A 21,627-nucleotide genomic window follows, 5' to 3' on the forward strand; every position below is an offset into this window, starting at 1 on the left:
TTATATTTCTTTGGAAAGAAATTGGTATTTAGCTCTGCAAAAGGATCAAACTAGAAACAGAGCATTTCTCATCTTCCTTCCACTCTGGGAAAGCTGGGGCAGAGGAAAGCCTCCCAGAAATATGAGATCCTAGAGCTTGCAAGATCTGAAAACAGTCAGAGATGATTAGGATTTGTGTGGAGTGGTGGAGGATTGGAAAGGAAGAGGGGGAGCACACTGGTCAGAGGGGTCTTGCGGAAGGCTGACAAGAGGAAGACACAGTAGAGTAGGGAGAAATGGCAAACACTCTTTCCAAAGGCTTAAGATTGTGAGGCAGTCAGATTTTTTTTTTCCAATGGCACATGTCTGTTAGGTAGAGTGACAACTATATTCTGCTTCTCTGTGTTGCTCTATGGTATTTGTGACAACTACTTGATCTCTCAGTTAAAGATCTGCATTAACCTCCACTGTAACTTATGCATGTGTTCGGTTTGAGCAAGACCAGCAAGGTACCTAGGAACCTTTCCCTGATCATCTTGTATTTCAGGCAGAGATTTAGCTGACAGGAACCAGCCCATCATTTATAGATTGCAGAGGTGCTTCCTAATGACCAGCAGCTAAAGAGAAAATGCCACAATCTGGTGGAAGGCTCTACATGTTTAGGAATCATGAAAATTAATTTCCTGATTTTCTCCTGCAGGCAGAATGTGGCAAAGATTGCTATCCATGTTCCTATTATCTCAAATCCTTCCATACTAATAGAAATCCCAATATTTAGCTGGGCACATTGTCACCCAGGAAAAAGATTAGGTTTCCCAGCTCCTCTTACAGCTAGGTATGGTCATCTGACTAATAATAATAATAATAATAATAATAATTATTATTATTATTATTATTTTTGAGACAGAGTTTCACTCTTGTTGCCCAGGCTGGAGTGCAATAGCATGATCTTGACTCCCCGCAACCTCCACGTCCCAGGTTCAAGCGATTCTCCTGCCTCAGCCTCCCAAGTAGCTGGGATTACAGGCACCCGCCACCATGCCTGGCTAATTCTTTGTATTTTTAGTAGAGACAGAGTTTCACCATATTGGCCAGGCTGGTCTCAAACTCCTGACCTCAGGTGATCCACCCACCTCGGCCTCCCAAAGTGCTGGGATTACAGGCGTGAGCCACCATGCCCGGCCCATCCAACTAAGTTCTGATTAAAGAAATATAAGCAGAAGTGTCCTGTGACAGTTTCTAGGAGCACTTTGTCAGGGGACAAGAGGTGAGGAGAGTAATGTGTAGAAAGAAAAGACATGATAATTATCACAAATAGAATATTTGTATTCATTGTTAGTCCAGACCTTAAGGTTTCAAATTTGAAGGTTTACCACCTAAGGGAGGAATAGAAAACTGGGAGAGGATTTATGATGCAGGAAAGAAAAGAGATGTATGCCAGGTGCAGTGGCTCACACCTGTAATCCCAGCATTTTGGGAGGCCAAGGCAGGAGGATTACTTGAGCCCAGGAGGTTGAGGCTGCAGTGAGCCATGATCTCGCCACTGCCCTCCAGCCTGGATGACCATGTCTCAAAAAAAATAGAAAGAAAAGAAAACGAATCTATAAGAAATGCTGAAGAGAGGCCTGGCGCGATGGCTCACACCTGTAATCCCAGCATTTGGGAGGCCAAGGCGGGCAGATCACGAGATCAGGAGATCAAGAGCATTCTGACTAGCATGGTGAAACCCTGTCTCTACTAAAAATACAAAAAAGTAGCTGGGCGTGGTGGCAGGCGCCTGTGGTTCCAGCTACTCCAGAGGCTGAGGAAGGAGAATCTCTTGAACCCGGGAGGTGGAGGTTGCAGTGAGCCAAGATCTGCATTCCAGCCTGGGCAACTCTGTCTCCAAGGGGGAAAAAAAAAGAAAAGAAAAAGAAACGCTGAAGCTAGTGGACATTGCTGAGTGTAGCTAAACGTAAGCCCAGGAGCATAAAGTCTATGTGGGAATTAAAGGTCAAGCAAGCAAGTGGGCACAACCTACTGACTCACCTGTGTAGAAAAGACCTGCTTTGGCCAGTGCTGCAACTCCCACAGCTGATTCCCGGGGCCAGTCCTTAAAAGAGTCCAGCCGTAGTTCTTCGTAAGCAAAGATGCTGTCATTGCAATAAGCTTGAATAAAAAGCACAAGGTGAGACCAGCAGGCTTTAGTCTTTTTTTTTTCTATATCTTTATTGCTGCTGCACAAATTAAAGAGACCAGTAGGCTTTGATATTGCAAGTATCAGCGTTCAAGTTGTCCCTTCACAGTTACAGATGGAATGATGTCTAGAGTTTGCTTCAAAATAAACGGGGCGGGGCGGGGGGGACGACAAAAAGAGATAGGGACAAAAAATCAAAAGAAGAAATAAACAAGCAAAGCCTTTGGAAAATGTTTGAGTTTTTACCTGATGCCATAGGTAATTCTCTCTGGACCCAGGAATTCACAAAATGTTCTCCCTGAGGGAAATTAAAATTCAAGTTGTTGATTATCTGACTTTTTTTTTTTTTTTTTTTTTTTTTTGAGGCAGAGTCTCACTCTGTTGCCCAGGCTGAAGTGCAGTGGCAGGTTCTCGTCTCACTGCAACCTCCGCCTCCTGGGTTCAAGTGATTCTCCTGCCTCAGCCTCCCGAGCAGTACAGGCATGTGCCACCACACCCGGCTAATTTTTTTTTTTTTTTTGTATTTTTAGTAGAGACAGACACGATGTTGGAGGTCTTTTTTTTTTTTTTTTTTTTTTTTTGAGACAGAGTCTCGCTCTGTCGTCCAGGCTGGAGCACAGTGGCACGACCTTGGCTCACTACAAGCTCCGCCTCCCAGGTTCACGCCATTCTCCTGCCTCAGCCTCCCGAGTAGCTGGGACCACAGGCGCCTGCCACCATGCCGGGCTAATTTTTTTTTTTTTTGTATTTTTAGTAGAGATGGGGTTTCACCATGTTAGCCAGGATGGTCTCTATCTCCTGACCTCATCATCCGTCCGTCTCGGCCTCCCAAAGTGCTGGGATTACAGACGTGAGCCACTGCACCCGGCCCATGTTGGAGGTCTTGAGGCTGGTCTCGAACACCTGATCTCAAGTGATCTGCCCAGCTCGGCCTCCCAAAGGGCTGGGATTACAGGCATGAGCTACTGCGCCCAGCCTGATTGTTTGACTTATGAAGTATATACCTATCTATGAACAAGAACTGAAGGAACTTTACCCCAGAATGAAGAGTTTCACTGGATGGAACGGCAGAGTCGGAGGAGAATTATTCCTTTAATTTTTATTTCTGTTGATGTTGCAATTGTTTTTATGCAGTGCAAGCAAACATACACACACACACACACACACACACACACACACACACACACACGCATGCAAGCTGTGAATGTTTATGCATACTCAGGAGGAAGCCTTCTCAGGGTCACTGTTTCCGGAAACTGACCTTGAAAACAGACCTGCATTTAAATATCACAGATGTACTTTGACGAATGAGGAAGTAAGAGACATAGAATGGTAACTAAATTCATCAGGGTATTATATATTGAGCAACTGATTCTTCTGGGAAAGCTGCACCCAGTTTCTTTTTGAGGAAACACCTCTCTTCCCCCACTGTCAGGCCATGTTCTCTATAGAGTTCTGGTCTCCTGAGTCATGTTAATCAATAAATTCTCATTTTTGTTTAAGCCAGTTTGGATTCGATTTCCCATCACTCTCCACTAGGAAATTTTTACTGATTCAGGATAGTTAGCCAGCTAGGAAGAGCCAGCTCTGCAGCCCACTGTGGGTGACAGCGCCTAGGTCAGGAGATCTTAGCAAGCCTGCAGATAGGGGCAGCAGAGGGAAGCTGGGGCAAGTGGCTTCATTCATAAAGGGGAAGACTATCAGGAAGGCAAGCAGAGCCCGTCAGAAGCCAGCCCTGGAAAAAGAAAAAGGCTCTAGGTCAGCAAGTGAATGTGATATTTTTCACTTTGAAGATGGGAGCCAGGGGAATGAAAGGAGAAAGGAAGAAAGAAATCAAACCCATGACATAAAAAGAATGCCTATGCCCTTCTGAGTCAGACACTTACAGGTAATCCAAAAACTTGAGAAAAAAATTGCTGTTATACATTACCGTTATGTCAACAAATCCCTTGTAGCTTTGAATATACTGGGTAATTTCCTCTGAGGATTTCTTACTCCGAAGAAATTCACATCTGTAATTAATAAATATAATTAAAATTTACCCCAGTACTGTGATAGAGCTGTCCTATATCACAATGAACATTTATAAAGACGTATTGAATTGTTGAATTTTATTATACTTCAATAAAATTGCCAAAAAATTTACCACAAAACTTAGGAGAATTACCATTATTCTCATATAATTATTTGTTATTTCTATTAGTGACAACATGTGTAGTTATTTAAAATTAAATCTTCAGGTTAACTTTTTTCTTGAAATAAAACATGCAATACAATCAAAGAGACTGATTTACAGTAAATATAGGATGGAGCTTTTGTTTTTTGGAATTAAGCAGTGGTGACTAAATCTAGTCGCTAGGGTTATATGAAAGCTACTGGCAGTAAAGAGAACTATATTTAAAATAATAGGCCAGACGCAGTGGCTCACATCCAGGAGTTCAAGACTAGCCTGGGCAACATGGCAAAACCCCATCTCCACAAAAAATACAAAAATTAGCCGGGCATGGTGCCACACCTCTGTAGTCCCAGCTACTCAGGAGGCTGAAGGGGGAGGATCACCTGAGCCCGGGGAGGTAGAGGCTGCACTGAGCCATGATCAGGCTGCTACACTCCAGCCTGGGCAACAGACTGAGACCCAGTCTCAAAAGTAAATACAAAAAATCTTTTTAAGATAACAATATATTTATCTACTGAACAAAAAATTACCATGCATTAAAAAGTAATGGCTATTAGGCCAGGCGTGATGGCTCACGCCTGGAATCCCAGCACTTTGGGAGGCCGAGACAGGTGGATCACGAGGTCAGGAGTTCGAGACCAGCCTGGCCAAGATGGTGAAACCCTGTCTCTACTAAAAGTACAAAAATTAGCTGGGTGTGGTGGCGGGCGCCTGTAATCCCAGCTACTTGGGAGGCTGAGGCAGGAGAATCGCTTGAACCTGGGAGGTGGAGGTTGCAGTGAGCTGAAATCATGCCACTGCACTCTAGCCTGGGCAACAGAGCAAGACTCAATCTCAAAAAAAACCAAAAACAAAAAAAGTAACGGATGTTAATGGATAATTTTTGATTTTTTTAAAAAAGAGCACACTGAATACCATTTAAAAACATATTCCTTTCCCATAAAAGAGAAGCAGTTTTAAAATTAACTTTTAAAATTTCCTCCAATTCAGCTGGGCATGGGGGATCATGCCTGTAATCCCAGCACTTTTGGAGGCTGAGGCGGGTGGATCACTTGAGGCCTGGAGTTTGAGACCAGCCTGGTCAACATGGTGAAACCCCATCTCTACTGAAAATACAAAAATTAGCCAGGCATGGTGGCGGGCGCCTGTAATCCCAGCTGCTTGGGAGGCTGAGGCGGGAGGATCACTTGAACCTGGGAAGCAGAGTTTGCAGTGAGTCATGATTGTACCACTACACTCCAGCCTGGGCAACAGAGAGAGACTCTGTCTCAAAAAAAATAAAAATAAAAATAAAAATCCCTCCAATTCAAATTTAAGTTTTCTTTCTATGGTGCTGTAGCAAAGAATGGGCTGGGAACCCAAAGGCTGGAGCATTAGTACCCGCTCTTCCACCAGTGGGGATGTGACCAACCTTGCCATGTTCTCTTATAATCACAGGAGAACATGGATGCCATCAGATGATCTGCATATTTCCCCAGGGCCATGATTCTATGTGATAGGCAGCCAGGGTCCCCAGTTTTCAGGTGTATAAATGTTTCCAAGGATTGCCGTAAGTCTGCACATAACCTACATGGCACACAATGCACGGGGTGGTTCCCTGTCCTCATGATTTATATGGATTGAGGAGGAACTCAGTACCTTAAAAAGTTACCATAAAATCATCTTACATTTATGGAGTGCCACATTTTAAAAAGTGTAAGGGTATACTCATTTTGTTGACAGTTGATAAAAAGAAGCAACAAATTGAAGTCCAGAAAGCTAAAGACAGAGTAACCCAACAAGAAACTTGGGGATTCTTGCTCTAATTCCAGCTCTTAGATTTTATTGACTGACCATGTGCTTATGACGACAAACAAATGAAAGGCAAAACAGTGGGTCATCTGTCATCCTCACATTATACATGGTAATTTTTACAAAGCATTTGATCCATATACTTTGTTTCTCATCCTTACAACCACCAGACAAGCTGTACATTATTATCTGCTGTGGAAGTCGCAGATACCAAGATGAAATCACTTTTATCAGACCCACACAAAATAGGGCTGGGAAGGCACGAAGGAGTGGGGTTCAGGCTTTCATGTCCAAGACAGGAACGGTTCCAAAGACTTTCTAAGAATCCCATAAGAAATCCCTTCACGCCTGTCACGCATCTCCTGCTTTGCATTGCTTGCATGTACGCACATATTTCTATGGCAAGGTTTATCACTGCACATTCTTTTGGACTGCAGCAATTCAGATAAGATAACATGAGATGAGATGCTGTCAAAAGAACACCTGCCCAGGAACAGCATCTCCACCAATGAACACACAAGAACTCTGGCTTTGAGCCTTCAGAACCAAGGAATTCTCTTCTGCCCTCTCTCCTCTCCCCTCTCCCCCGTCCCCTGTCTTCTCTCTCCTCTCCCCTCTCCCCTCTCTCCTCTCTCTCTAAAGAAACTGGAGCCTCATCACATTGCCCAGGCTGGTCTCAAACTCCTGGCCTCCAAAGACCCTCCCGCCTCAGCCTCCCACATAGCTGTGATTACACGTATGAGCTACCATGCCCAGCTATGAACTCTGTTTCTAAGCAGCTTATGTGAACTTCTCCCTTTTGCCAAGAAAAATTCCCTTTACTCTTCCCTCACTGCACGTGCCTGTGGTTTACAGTAGTGCATTCCAAATCATAACCCTCTTTTCTTATTCCTGAATAAATTTGACATATTTGGGGATATCTGTCTCTAATTTTTTTGTTGTTGTTGACACTGCATTTTACATATGAGATTCAGACAAGGTCAGTCACCTGCCTAGGGTCTGGTAGTCAGGTAGCAGCAGATTCAAGCCTGGCTCTATCTCCTAAGCCTCTGCACTACCCCCTGCCCTTGTTTGCTGGCCTGAACTCCTTCCTCTCTAGGAGTGGTTGCTGGACTGCTGTCTCCCCTCCCTGTGCTTATTACCTTACCCTCTGACTATGTTAGAGAAGGCATATGAAGGCCCCTCCAGACAGGATGTGCGGCTCTAGTAGGTGCTAGTCACATGATAATGTGATCATGTGTGAGTGGTGCCACTGGTACTTGTCCAGTGTATAACCCAGCGACACTAAACACAGTGACCCTGAGGCTAAGTGAAGCCTGAGCTGAGGCTAGAGCTGAGACAGGTGCCCACGAGCAGCGGCTTGTGCTCCAGCCGGGGCTGCTGTTCCCTGTTACATATGCATATATGGTGCACTGTCAGCATGGACAAGGACTGCCTGGGTGGCTGTTTTGATTCGTCAGGGAGCCAGAGTGACTGTCAAATGATTTCACAATTCTAGCTTCATTCGTCCCTATAACTATCTCATCTACTTGTCTAACTTTCTCTCTCTCCTCTTCCTGCCTTTCTCCTCTCCTCCCTTGTTTACTTCCTCCCTCCTAATCTCCTCACTTTCTTTTCAACTATGAAAGTAATATATACTTGTTTCCAAAAATTTAAACAAGACAGCAATGAACAAAATAAATGTGAAAATCCATCACTACTTCACCCCCTGACAAATCCAGATCCAGAAGTATCTACAGTTTGGTTTACATATTTTCATAAGGTTTTCTATATATTTTCAAGCAACTCCATATATAGTTTGAGTGGTTTTAAACATTTTCAAAGTCTCACACTGCACTTATTGTGCATATTGCTTTCCCACACAACGTATCAAAACATATCAAAGATATCCATTCACTTTTTTTTTCTTTTGAGATGGAGTCTCACTCTGTTGCCCAGGCTGCTGTGCAGTGGAGTGATCTTGGCTCACTGCAACCTCCGCCTCCCAGGTTCAAGCAATTTCTTGCCTCAGCCTCCCGAGTAGCTGGAACCATAGGCACGCACCACCACGCTCGGCTCATTTTTGTATTTTTAGTAGAGATGGGGTTTCACCATGTTGGCCAGGGAAGAGGGGAGATAGGAGAGGAGAGAGGAGAGAGGGAAGAGGGGAGAGGAGAGTTCATCACTTGAATGAACTCCTGGCCTCAAGTGATTTGCCCGCCTTGGCCTCCCAAAGTGCTGGGATCACAGGTGTGAGCCACTGTGCCCAGCCTTTTTTTTTTTTTTTTTTTTTTTTGAGATGGAGTCTCGCTGTGTTGACCAGGCTGGAGTGCAGTGGTGCGATCTCAGCTCACTGCAACCTCTGCCTCCCGGGCTCAAGCAATTCTCCTGCCTCAGCCTCCCAAGTAGCTGGGGTTACAGGTGCCTGCCACCACGCCTGGCCAATTTTTGTATTTTTAATAGAGACAGGGTTTTACCATGTTAGCCAGGCTGGTCTTGAACTACTGACATCAAATGATCCGCCTACCTTAGCCTCCCAAAGTGCTGGGATTACAGGCATGAGCCACCATGCCGGGCCTCCATTCACTTTTGTGGGCATGGCTGTCCATGTGCAAGATGACTTATAAATGTAAATAACTGTGTCCAGTTTTGTAGTTAATTTAGTATCCAACCAACAACTTTGCATGTAGTAGGTGTGTGACAAATATTTGTTAAAGAAAATAGAATCTGAGGCTGGGCACGGTGGCTCATGCCTATAATCCCAGCACTTTGGGAGGCCGAGGCAGGTGGACTGCCTGAAGTCAGGAGTTCGAGACCAGCCTCGCAAATATGGAGAAACCCCGTCTCTACTAAAAATACAAAAACTAGTCAGGTGTGGCAGTGCGCACCTATAATCCCAGACCTGGGTGGGGTGAGGCAGGAGAATCGCTTGAACCCAGGAGGCAGAGGTTGCAGTGAGCCAAGATTGCACCGCTGCACTCAAGCCTGGGCAACAGAGTGAGACTGTCACAAAAAAAAAAAAAAAAAAGAAAGAAAGAAAGAAAATAGAATCTGAGCCTGACCAAACTGCTAGATCCAAGTGTCAGGTTCCTGGAAATGCAGAAGGTAGAGGAACATGTTAGACTATGCCAGAGGAACACATTCTGCCAAATCTAGAGTAGAGGGAATTTTACAGGACAGATTACATGGCTTCTTTAACAAATAAGTGACAAGAAAAAAGAGATGGATAAAGAGGAAATCTACGAATTAAAAATCTTAAGGGGCTGAGCACAGTGGCTCATGCCTGTAATCCCAGCACTTTGGGAGGCTGAGGTGGGAGGATCACTTGAGCCCAGGAGTTTGTAGAACCAGGAGTTCCAGACCAGCCTGGGCAACAAAGTGAAACCTTGTCGCTATAAAAGATATGAAAATTAGCTGGGCATGGTGGTAGGCACCTGTGGTCCCAGCTACTCAGGACGCTGAGGTGGGAGGATTGCTTGAGTCTGAGAGGTGGAGGTTGCAGTGAGCTGAGATTGCACCACTAAACTCCAGTCTGGGCTCCAGTCTGGGCAACAGAGCAAAACTCACTCTCAAAAAAAAAAAAAAAAGAAAAGAAAGAAAGAAAACAACAAATCTTGGTCAGGCACAGGTGGCTCATGCTTGTAATCCTAGCACTTTGGGAATCCAAGGTGGGTGGATCACTTGAGGCCAGGAATTTCAGACCAGCCTGGGCAACATGATGAAACCGCATCTCTACTAAAATTACAAAAATTAGCCAGGTGTGGTGGTGCATGCCTGTAATCTCAGTTACTCGGAGGCTGAGGCACAAGAATCACTTGTACCTGAGAGGTGGAGGTTGCAGTGAGCCAAGATCGTACCACTGGGCAACAGGGCGAGACTCTGTCTCAAATAAAATAAAATAAAAATATAGTTATTGTTATTATTTCCAGGAAAAAAGGTGGGTAGGAGATGGATGAAATATGATTTGGCTATGTGTTGACAAGTATTTATTACACTATTCTATCTTTGTATGAAATTTTACACAGTGAAAGTTTAAAAACTTGTTAAAGGAATGAATCTGTACTTGGTAGAAACAAAGAAAGTCATGTAGAAAATACTAGTAAATATAGCATTAAAAATAATTAAAATGTACTTCCTTTTCTAAGCCAGGAACTAAAGACCACTGCAGTAATAAAAACTCTTTCTGAGGTTTAAAAATACAGTGTTTTCATTTGGTATATATTTAGCAGTACATGAAACCATTTGTAATAATGTTTAAATATTTTTTACCTTCCAGCATACACCATTTTACACCACCCCTATGGAAATTATTATTACTTATTTAATTAGTTTTAGAGACAGGGTCTCACTCTGTCACCCAGGCTGGAGCACAGTGGCTTGATCACGGCTCAATGCAGCCTTGACTACCTGGGCTCTAGCAATCTTCCTGCCTCAGCCTCGCAAGTAGCTAGGACTGCAGGTACACGCCACCATGCCTGGCTAACTTTTTTTTTTTGAGACGGAGTCTCACTCTGTCGCCCAGGCCGGAGTGCAGTGGCGCTATCTCGGCTCACTGCAAGCTCTGCCTCCCGGGTTCACACCATTCTTCTGCCTCAGCCTCCCAAGTAGCTGGGACTACAGGCACCCGCCACCGTTCCCGGCTAATTTTTTGTATTTTTAGTAGAGACATGGTTTCACCGTGTTAGCCAGGATGGTCTTGATTTCCTGACCTCGGATCCACCGGCCTCAGCCTCCCAAAGTGCTGGGATTACAGGTGTGAGCCACCGCGCCTGGCCAATTTTTTTTATTTTTGTAGAAACAGGGTCTCTACATGCCAGGCTGGTCTCAAACTCCTGATTTCAAGCAATCCTCCTGCCTTGGCCTCCCAAAGTGCTGGGGTTACAGGTGTGGGCCACCACTTCCAGCCTTATTTATTAATTAAGGCAGATCATGAAACTTCTACTGGGCAAAACCTATCTTAGAATTTGGGATAATGAAATACTTAAAAACTGTTTAAAATTCTATAATTCAAACTTTTCACAATGTAATTAGGCCTTTCCTGCTTGAATAAATCCTGGAGTGGTCCAATTTTGAATAGGGAAAGATCAAAACTGAAGGTGCTACTCCAGAAAGGTGGCTCTTTTGTCTTTCATTTTGTCTTTTAAAGAACTGAAAAATTTAGCCAGGCACAGTGGCTCACGCCTGTAATCCTAGCACTTCGGGAGGCCTAGGTGGGTGGACTGCCTGAGCTCAGGAGCTCAAGACCAGCCTGGGCAACATGGCAAAACCCCATCTCTGCTAAAAATACAAACATTAGCCCATCTTGGTGGTGCACACCTATAATCCCAGCTACTCAGAAGGCTGAGGCAGGAGAATCACCTGAACCAGGGAGGGAGAATTTGCACCGAGCTGAAGTCATGCCACTATACTCCAGCCTGGGTGGCAGAGCAAGACTGTCTCAAAAAAAAAAGAAAGAAACATTTAAGCAAAAATTATCTACTTACTTGGGGAACCATTTGGCATGTTCCTTCCAAGGATCATCTCCTTCTTCCCAATTTCCTAAACATCCACCACAGGAAAAACACTGTACCGTGTCCTGTTTACCTATATATGAAGGAAAATATTTAGATTGCCTGGCAGTGGCACCAGGGGGTATGTACACAGAGTTGATTGTTTTGTTCAGGAGCAAGACAAGCTCCAGCGTGGCTGTGCACTCCCGATCTCATTGGCCTGAGTCTCCATCCTCAATCCCACCACCCAAAATGGGCCCCTCCACCACAGCCGTGCTCTAGGTACAGAACCCTAAGCTGTGTAACTCAATATCCTGCCCCAGCTGCCCCCCAGAGCTGGTATGTTGCTCTTTGAGTTCTCAGGGTCAAAGTGATAGGGAAGCCGACTAACACCAGGACCAGCTGAAGTAACGTGCAATTAGAAAACCTACGTTTTAGCCTTGCCATGACATTTCGGTAGAAACATAGGCATGTTTCTTAAAGTCTCTGAGCCTCCATGAACTCAGCTGTGAAATGGGAGAGAAAGGGGTAAATTCATTGGATAAGAATTAGTACTCACTCTATGCCTAGCATAAAGTAGGTACAGTACTCAGTAAATGATCGTTGTTATTGTTAGAACTCTGATTTATATATCATAACCCCTATGGCGGGGCTAGGACAAACAAACAAAACCCTCCAATACTGCAGCAATGAGAAGAATCAAAGAAAGATCATGTAAGAGCAGTAGAAGGAGGGTGGGTGAGGAGACTGGGATCAGGATGACCGCATGAGTTATTTAATCTTTTCAGGACCTTAAGAATACAGCCAGTATTTTCTAAGGTCCAAGTTTAAGGAGACGTAACTTTCTTATTTTATATATATTTGACAAATTAACACAGGCTGTACTAAATAGAAAATGAAGCAAAAATAAAAATATTGATGTTGAATTTTAATAAACTAGACCTTATACCTAATATAACACATTTAACCAGTGAAGAAAGTTTAGCAAAATATTGCAAAAGCAATTGAAAAATAAAACCTAAACTTAAAACGCCAGAGAAACACTTCAGAGAATAATTTCAAGGTACCTGTAAAGACAAAGCCAGCCTCTGAGAGCACACAAGGGGATATCCCTTGGACATAAAATGGCCAGTTCCTGAAGGACGCAAGTCTAGCCTCCTCTTCTTGGTACCTCATTTTACCTCCTCTCAGCCTGCTCTTCAGATTCTTCACCCTTATGTCGTACTTGGCAATGTTACCAACATCCTTGTTCAAAAGGAACCCACAATCTGGATGAAACCTCTTGTGGTCTTCTATGGGGAGTCTCGTGAGGCCGGCACCAAAGAGGATTAGGCTACAGCAGAAGCACTGAATCCCAGATTTTACCCCAGTGAAGTAAAACCCAGCGGCCGCCATCTCCTGTGGTATCCATGAGCTGTACGGCTCATAAGTCACAAAAGTCTTTAACCTTTTTGCTTCACTGCGCATTTGAGAGTTGTAGCCTTTCTGCATTTTTGCTCGCTCCTTCTGCTCCTCTTCTTCTAGTTCCTTTGCCAACTGAACTGCATCTAGGCCCAGAAGAGCAGACAGCTCTGGCAGCAAATTGTGATCAAACTGGGAGATCCTCTCGTCAGAGGCTTTCTGCTGGGTGGCCATTTTCTGAAAAGGAAAATAAAGCAGGTTGATCCCTTATAGTAAGATTTTTCTTAGAAGAGCATTTCCCACTGTTTCCGAAGAAACCAGGAATTAAAGGAATGCCTGGAATTTCAACACAAAAGATAAATTGTTGGAAAATTATGAAACATCAGTATTCATCTACTTAATCAACAAATATTTACTAAGCACCTACTATATATCAGGTACAGTGCTAGACATTGGGGATCTAGCAACCAACAAGACAGACACCCATCTGCCTCCATTCATGAAGCTTTCCAGATATCAGTTATGGACACAATGTGGTAACATGAGCATATACTGAACATTTATATTAAAGAAAAACATAGACAAAATTGTATAGCCTGGCAGCAACAATTTGATCGAATTACTCAGTTTTAAAAAATCATTATTTTGTGTTCATGTTTTAAGTCTCGGTGCTCTGGCCGGGCGCGGTGGCTCACGCCTGTAATCCCAGCACTTTGGGAGGCCGAGGCAGGTGGATCACGAGGTCAGGAGATGGAGAACATCCTGGCTAACAAGGTGAAACCCCATCTCTACTAAAACTACAAAAAAAATTAGCCGGGCGTGGTGGCGGGCGCCTGTAGTCCCAGCTACTCGGGAGGCTGAGGCAGGAGAATGGCGTGAACCCAGGAGGTGGAGCTTGCAGCGAGCCGAGATCGCGCCACGGTACTCCAGCCTGGGTGACAGAGCAAGACTCCGTCTTAAAAAAAAAAAAAAAAAAAAGAAGCTCAGTAACAGGCCAATGACTGTTTTTCAAAGGACATATACCTGCCAGAAGCCTCGGGTAACTTTCTAGTGTCAAATCCCCATGACCATCCCTGAGGGGCAGTCACGGGCTTTGGTAAGAAGCTCCATCAGCGTGAGTCGGTTGCTGACATTGCTAACATCATTTGAACACTGAGGTGCTATGGCCCCAAAGTAATCTCTTCGAAGTTCCCAAAAAGTCTCCCATTTGTTCATTTTTCAAAGCCCCATGTAAATTAGCTCCCCATTCCCTCTTAACTTCGAGAATAAGGGTTGATAAAATTCCCAAACATGGTATGTGATTTCTCCAGGAACCAAGAAATTGAACTAATTTTCGTGCCTTTTTCCTCTGTCTTGTAGCTAGCAACTTAATTTTGGTTGTTTGGGAATGTTTCTAGTGGCTCTAGCCCAAGTAATTCCTCCTTTTTTTTTTTTTTTAGACAGTCTCACTCTGTCACCCAGGCTGGAGTGCAGTGGCGTGGCCTCGGCTCACTGCAACCTCCGCCTCCTGGGTTCAAGCAATTCTCCTGCCTCAGCCTCCTGAGTAGCTGGGATTACAGGCACGTGCCACCAATTGCGGCTAATTTCTGTATTTTTAGTAGACACAAGGTTTTGCCATGTTGGCCAGCTTGGTCTCCAACTCCTGACCTCAAGTGATCCGCCTGCCTTGGCTTCCCACTCTTGTCCTTGTCGCCCAGGCTGAAGTGCAGTGGCGCAATCTCAGCTCCCACACCGGGATTACAGACGTGAGCCACCACACCCAGCCTAGCCCAAGTAATTTCTAAGAATTTTACCATTTATTCTAAGCCTTGCATTTTAGCCAGTTAATCATCCCTCCCTGGTGGTTATATGATTAACAAGCACTTCCAATTCAGTCTTAGCTGGATATTTGGATTGAGAGATTAACATTATTATCATCAATATAATAAGACATAGTATTAGCTGGGCGCAGTGGCTCATGCCTGTAATCCCAGCACTTTGGGAGGCTGAGGCGGGCAGATCACCTGAGGTCAGGAGTTCAAGACCAGCCTGGCCCACATGGTGAAACCCCATCTCTACAAAAATAAAAAAAATTAGCCGGGCATGATGGTGGGTGCCTGTAATCCCAGCTACTCAGGAGGCTGAGGCGGGAGAATCAGTTGAACCTGGGAGGCAGAGGTTGCAGTGAGCCAAGATCTCGCCATTGCACTCCAGCCTGGGTGACAGAGTGAGACTCCATCTCAAACAAACAAAAAAAAGATATAGTATTTTCCAGTGCAATCAAATCTAAGTTGTTCCTCATTAGGTTGTAGCAATAAGCAAGATAATTTAAATGTCCTGTGGGAGCAGCTTAAATGTGCATTGGTGGCCTTTCCACACAAATGCAAATTGATTATGATTTTCTCCTGAAATAGGAATCAAAAAGAAAGTAAGTGGCCAAGTGTGGAGGCTCACACCTGTAATCCCAGCATTTTGGGAGGCCAAGGTGGGAGGATTGTTTGTGGCTAGGAGTTTGAGGCCAGTTTAGGCAACTTAGTGAGATCCTTGTCTCTACAAAAAATTTTAAAAATTAGCCAGATGTGTTGGCACATGCCTGTAGTCCCAGCTACTCGGGGAGCAGAGGCAGAAGGATCACTTGAGCCCAAGAATTCAAGGTTACAGTGAGCCACAATTATGCCACTCACTGTACATTTCATGAAATCTCTTTCCTCAACAGCATCCCCATTCAGATGTCACATCCATTCCGATAATATATCAGGGAGAGATGATAACAATTATGCAATTATATTGCATAATTGAATTATATTGAAATATAATCCATCGGGAGCAGTGGCTCATGCCTGTAATCTCAGCACTTTAGGAGGCCGAGGTGGGTGGATCACCTGAGGTCAGGAGTTTGAGACCAGCCTGGCCAACATGGCAAAACCCCATCTCTACTAAAAATACAAAAAAAAAAAAAAAAAGAAATTAGTCAGGTGTGGTGGCACGTGCTTGTAGTCCCAGCTAGTTGGGGCTGGCTGTGGTGGCTTACACCTATAATCCCAGCACTTTGGGGGGCTGAGGCCAGGAGTTCAAGACTAGCCTTGCCAACATGGTGAAACCCCATCTCTACTAATAATACAAAAAAAATAGCTGGGCATGGTGGCGCATGCCTATAATCTCAGCTACTCGGGAGGCTGAGGCAGGAGAATTGCTTGAACCCACGAGGCAGAGGTTGCAGTGAGCCGAGATCGCACCACTGCACTCCAGCCTAGGCGACAAGAGTGAAACTCCATCTCAAAAAAAGAGAAAGAAATATAATTCACACATCATAAAATTCACCCATTTAAAATGAACAACTGAGGGTGCGGTGACTCATACCTATAACCCCAATGCTCTTGAGGCCAAGGCGGGAGGATTGCTTGAGACCAGGAGTTGAGATCAGCCTGGGCAACATAGCTAGACCCTGTCTCTAAAAAAACTTTTTTTTTAAGAAAACGAAAACTTAGCGGGGCATGGTGGCATGTGCCTGTAGTCCTAACTACGTGGGAGGCTGAGGTGGAAGGATCTCTTGAGCCCAGGAATATGAAGCTGCGGGGAGCTATGATTGCAGTACTATACTCCAGCCTGGACAACAGAGTGAGGCTCTGTCTCTAAAAAAAGTAAATAAAATGTACAGTTCAATAAATATCAGCATATTCATAAACATGCACAACCACCACCACAATCAATTTTAGAACATTTTCATCCCCCCAGAAAGAAACGCTGTGCCCATTAGCAGTTGCTTTCCATGTCCCCCATTACCCTCCTAGCCCTAGGCAACTACTATGTTACTTTCTGTCTCTATAGATTTGCCTACTGGGGACATTTCATTTAAATTGAATCATACAGTACGTGGTCCTTTGTGTCTGGTTGCTTTCACTTTGCAAAATGTTCATGTTGGTAGAGGTGCTTAAAAAATAAAATAAAAAGAACAACAAAAAAAGGAAGCGAAATTCATCCATGTTGTATTGTTTTAGTACTTCATATTCCTTTTCATTGTCAAATAATATTTCATTATGTGGATATACCACACTTTATTATCACATATACCATATTTTATTCCTCAACCCAGTTGATGGATGTGTGGATTGTTTACGCTTTTTGGCTATTATAAATAATACCGCTGTGCACATTAGTGTGCAAGTTTTTATATGGACATTTTTCACTTTTTTTTTTTCTTGAGACAGGGTCTTGCTCTGTCACCTAGGCTGGAGTGCAGTGGCTTGATCACCATCCATTGCAGCCTCAACCTCAAGGGCTGAAGCGATCCTCCCACCTCAGCTTCCCAAGCAGCTCGTACGACAGGAGCACACCACCATTTTTTATAGAGACAAGCGTGTTGGGGGTGTTGGTGGGGGGGGTCTCACTATGTTGCCAAGTTGGTCTCAAACCCCTGGGCTCAAGTGATCCTCCCACCTCAGCCTCCTAAAGTGCTGGGATTACAGGCCTGAGCCACCACACCTGGCCCATTTTTCACTCTTAAACTTACAGTTGTATTGTCATACTAAACTAAGTTAATTGCTGTTTAATTTTTTATTAGCAGGTATAACAATACATTATGCACCATGGTCCAACAATGACAATAAAGTTTTTCACCACTCCGGGCATTTTATCCACACCAATGTAAATGTCCTTGGGTCCCATAGCACCAAGAGACTCTGCCACCCTTTTCTTTACATCACACTGCTTTAAAGTGACTGTAGATTCTGCTTTTGCATCATCCTAAAGGTTTATTTGTTTAATTCATCAAGACTAGGATACATTAGAAATCTTGACTGGGCACAGTGGCTCACACCTGTAATCCCAGCACTTTGGGAGGCTAAGGTGGGAGGATTGCTTGAGCCCAGGAATTTGAAACCAGCCTGGGCAACAAAGTGAGATGGAGTCTTGCTCTGTTCACCCAGGCTGGAGTGCAGTGGCAAAATTTTGACTCACCGCAACCTCTGCTTCCCAGGTTCAAGCAATTCTCCTGCCTCAGCCTCCTGAGTAGCTGGGATTACAGGCATGTGCCACCATGCCCGGCTAATTTTTTTATTTTTAGTAGAGACAGGGTTTCACCATGTTGGCCAGGCTGGTTTCGAACTCCTGACCTCAGGTGATCCACCCGCCTCGGCCTCCCAATGTGCTAGGATTACAGGTGTGAGCCACCATGCCCAGCCCTTTCCTTTTTTTTTTTTTTTTTTTTATAGGAGACAAGGGCTCACTCTGTTGCCAAGGCTGTAGTACAAGTGCAGTGGCATGATTCTAGCTCACTGCAGCCTCAGATTCCTGGGCTTAAGCAATCCTCTTGCCTCAGCCTCTCAAAGTGCTGGGATTACAGGTGTAAGCCAGGACACCCGGCCTCCTTTCTTTTGAATGATATTAATCTGTTCATCATTCAGCACAATTTGGAGCAAAGGAACTAGTAAGTCTTCAACAGGCTTTCACTTCATCCTGCTCCCCCAGTAGTAGGGTCATACAAAAAGTCTACGAAGGTAGAGGCCCTCTTATCACAGCAACAATCATCACTTAAGTCAAAGACATAAAATTAAGGGATACCTTAGTTTCATCACAGAACCAGTCCAAATGTGTTTGTTTGCATTCTCAACATTTCAGTAACCTCTAGGGAGTATTTCTTCTAACAATTATGGGTGGAATTGGGCAGTTCCCCTTTACAAGATATGTTTTATGTACTGCCACCTTTGTGCAGCTCAACCGATTTGGAATTTGCCCAGCTAAACACATTCCGGCAAAAGCTGCAGCTAATTGAAGATCTTCAACGAATTCAGCTAATTAAGACCAAACACACCCTTTCATTTGAAGGTACATTTGACAGTACCTAATACAAGGAAAAGAGCTCCTTTGTCATTCATGTATATCCAACCCAGCAGTGGTTCTGCAGGAAGCTCTGTCAGTCCACAGGCAACTTCACTCTTGTGTAGTTCCCTGTTTCAGTTGTCTCTTGATGCCCTCCCACTGTAGTTTCGTTGGTGATTATCTACCCGATGAGGGTCACATTCCCATCAGAAGAAATATCTGCCCAACTCCTCTTTGGCATCATGTTCCTTCCCTTTACAGAAGGAAATTGGTGGACTTGGCAACACAGGCTCTTTTTTAGTTACTTTCATTTTTGCCAAAGCAGCCTAACCAGCCAGGGAACTGTATTCTTGGCTGACTTCCTCTGTGTCTGGATTTCTTTTTAAATCTATTTAGCGATTTCCTCTTGCTCTGCATCAACCACCTTCAAGTTCCATTGTCATCCCTTTCTTCCCATTGAGAGTTGTAGCACTTCAGCAAATTCAAACAGGGATTCCCCAGCAACTAGCCTGGCACCAGTGGCTCTAAATCTTTCCCCACTTTTCATCTTTCTCCCAAACAAAGCCTTAGCTATCATTTAAATTATAAAGTAAAAAACTGGGGGGCCAGGCGCAGTGGCTCACACCTGTAATCCCAGAACTTCGGGAGGCTGGGACGGGCGGATCACTTGAGTTCAGGAGTTCAAGACCAGCCTGGCCAACATGGCGAAACCCCATCTCTACTAAAAATACAAACAAATTAGCCGGGCGTGGTGGTGCATGCCTGTAATCCCAGCTACTCGGGTGGCTGAGGCACAAGAACTGTTTGAACCCAGGAGGCAGAGGTTTCAGGCTTCAGTGCCACTGCACTACAGCCTGGGCAACAGTGTGAGACCCTGTCTCGAAAAAAAAAAAGAAAAAAAAAAACCTGGGGCCAGGCGCAGTTGCTCACACCTGTAATCCCACCACTTTGGGAGGCCAAGGCAGGCAAATCACTTGAGCCCAGGAGTTCGAGACCAGCCTGGGCAACATGGTAAGACTCCAGCTCTACAAAATAATTTTTTTAAAAGTTAGGCAGCCGTGATGGTGTGCGCCTATAGACCCAGCTACTCGGGAGGCTGAGGTGGGAGGATCTCTTGAGCCCAGGAGGTTGAGGCTATAGTGAGCTGTGATCAAGATACTGCACTCAACTTGGGTGACAGAGTGAGAGAGACCCTGTCTCAAAAACAAAAAAAAAGTAATGATCCTATTCACAGTACCCTCTTCATCAATTACACAGGTTTGGATCATTGAAAAGACTTAGAAGACTCCGCATAGTATCCTCACATAAGGCTTTAATAAAGGTAAAGGATAGATACAAAAAAAAAAAAAACCCAACAAACCAAAAGGCAAGTGAAACACCACACCCAGTTCCTAGGGTCCTTTTGCAGCCACAGAGGATGTGGAAGATGTGCTTCATCTTTAAGCAATGAACCAGCTAGATGATACATGCAAGACACCTTGGTCTCAAGAGAACTGTAACCTCATCTGAGGCTCTTTTATACTCCTCTGATCAGGTAGCCAACACTAGCTTGCATACCAGGGCTCAAAACCAGAAACAAGCTGGTATAGTCAAGCTGGGGCAGTGGCATGCACCTGTAATCCCAGCTACTTGGGAGGCTGAAGTGGGAGGATCACTTGAGCCCAGAAGTTCAAAGCCAATGAGATTTCATCTCCAAAAAGAAAGAAAGAAGCAAGAAACAGGCTGCTCCCTGGTCTGTCTCCCACCCCAGCACAGGACTCTATTAATCACTGGCTAGTACATTTCATTTAGGTTTGGCCAAGGAACAGCACCAAGGCTTCAGGCCTCCCCAGAGATAAATGAGTACAGAGTTGCAGCAGACCAGCAGACATTGATCCTGTCTGACACAACGAAGTTTGGTGGTCAATCATGCCAGTCTAGAGGCTGTTTCTGGGGGAGGAGAAGTAATTTCCAAGGCCCTTTCCAGGTCTAATATTCTTTGACTACAGTGCTAAGAGTGCCATTGAGGCAACTGTGCCATGGAGCTAGGATTTAAACCCAAGTCTGTGTGACTCCAGTGTCTGTCCTCTTTCCTCCATACCATCCTGCCTCCAAAGAGAGAAACAATAGCAAGACAAAGAAGGGACCATAGGTTTAGGTGTGGAAGAAAAGCACCTTTGCCAGGGATAGTAATTTACTTACCTGAGGTTTATCCACAGTTCTAGTCTAATAGAGGAGAATGCTGGCCAGTGGAAGGAAAGTATGTGGCTGAAGAACAAATGCTCTGTCCGTCCTTTAGTAGGAAGCAGTGAGAAAATATTTAAGGAACTAAAATGCAAAAAAAAAATCGCGCAGTCAGAGACTTTACCAGTAAATGCTCTAAGGTCTTGAGTCAACAGGATTTAATCAGGACCCAAAAGGAGTAATGAAACCTACAGAGTCTCACACCAGAAGTATTTTATTCTAGTTTTTTTGTTTCTGTTGTTTTTGAGACAGTGTCTCACTCTGTCGCCCAGGCTGGAGTACAGTGGCACGATCCTAGCTCACTGCAGCCTCAAGCTTCCAGGCTGAAGCGATCCTCCCATCTCGACCTCCCAAAGTGCTAGGATTATAGGCATGAACCACCACATCCGGCCTTTATTCTAGTTTGTTAAGATTGGTTAATAGTTAAGGTGCTAGTGTCTTATTTCTGTTATAGTAACAGTTTCTATCTTTCTGGTAGCTTTTAGGATCTTTTCTCCTAAGTGTAGACCTCTCTACATTCATTGGGCTGGGTATTCAATGGGCATTTTCAATCTGAGCTCTTGGGTCTCCCATCAAGCCTGGGAAATTACCTTCTATTATTTATTTGATAACTTCCT

The 21,627-nt window shown here is 44.4% G+C and overlaps 1 protein-coding gene across 3 annotated transcripts in view, besides 2 other annotated features; it reads right to left on the minus strand.

Moving 5' to 3' along the window:
- The window catches only part of NAIP (NLR family apoptosis inhibitory protein), a 57,174-nt gene that overhangs the window by 31,525 nt on the left and 4,022 nt on the right, over window positions 1–21,627 (minus strand). For 2 of the 3 annotated variants that reach the window (NM_004536.3, NM_001346870.2), the window contains exons 3-8: window positions 20,969–21,094; window positions 12,658–13,228; window positions 11,585–11,684; window positions 4,086–4,167; window positions 2,402–2,453; window positions 2,008–2,127 (exon numbers count right to left, since the gene is read on the minus strand). In NM_004536.3, coding sequence (NP_004527.2) covers window positions 2,008–2,127; window positions 2,402–2,453; window positions 4,086–4,167; window positions 11,585–11,684; window positions 12,658–13,225 — 922 coding nt within the window. In that variant the 5' untranslated portion in view covers window positions 13,226–13,228; window positions 20,969–21,094. The remainder of the gene's footprint in view (window positions 1–2,007; window positions 2,128–2,401; window positions 2,454–4,085; window positions 4,168–11,584; window positions 11,685–12,657; window positions 13,229–20,968; window positions 21,095–21,627) is intronic. The other variant, NM_022892.2, reaches the window with a different exon arrangement.
- Window positions 20,898–21,416: a promoter, noted in NCBI's record as "non-LTR promoter". NCBI's record gives the evidence for it as "EXISTENCE:reporter gene assay evidence [ECO:0000049][PMID:19488400]".
- Window positions 20,898–21,627: part of a biological region, named in NCBI's record as "NAIP promoter region", that runs on past the window's edge. NCBI's record gives its function as "regulatory_interactions: NAIP".

Source organism: Homo sapiens, chromosome 5 (genome assembly GCF_000001405.40).
Source record: "Homo sapiens chromosome 5, GRCh38.p14 Primary Assembly".
NCBI classification, from domain to species: domain Eukaryota; kingdom Metazoa; phylum Chordata; class Mammalia; order Primates; family Hominidae; genus Homo; species Homo sapiens.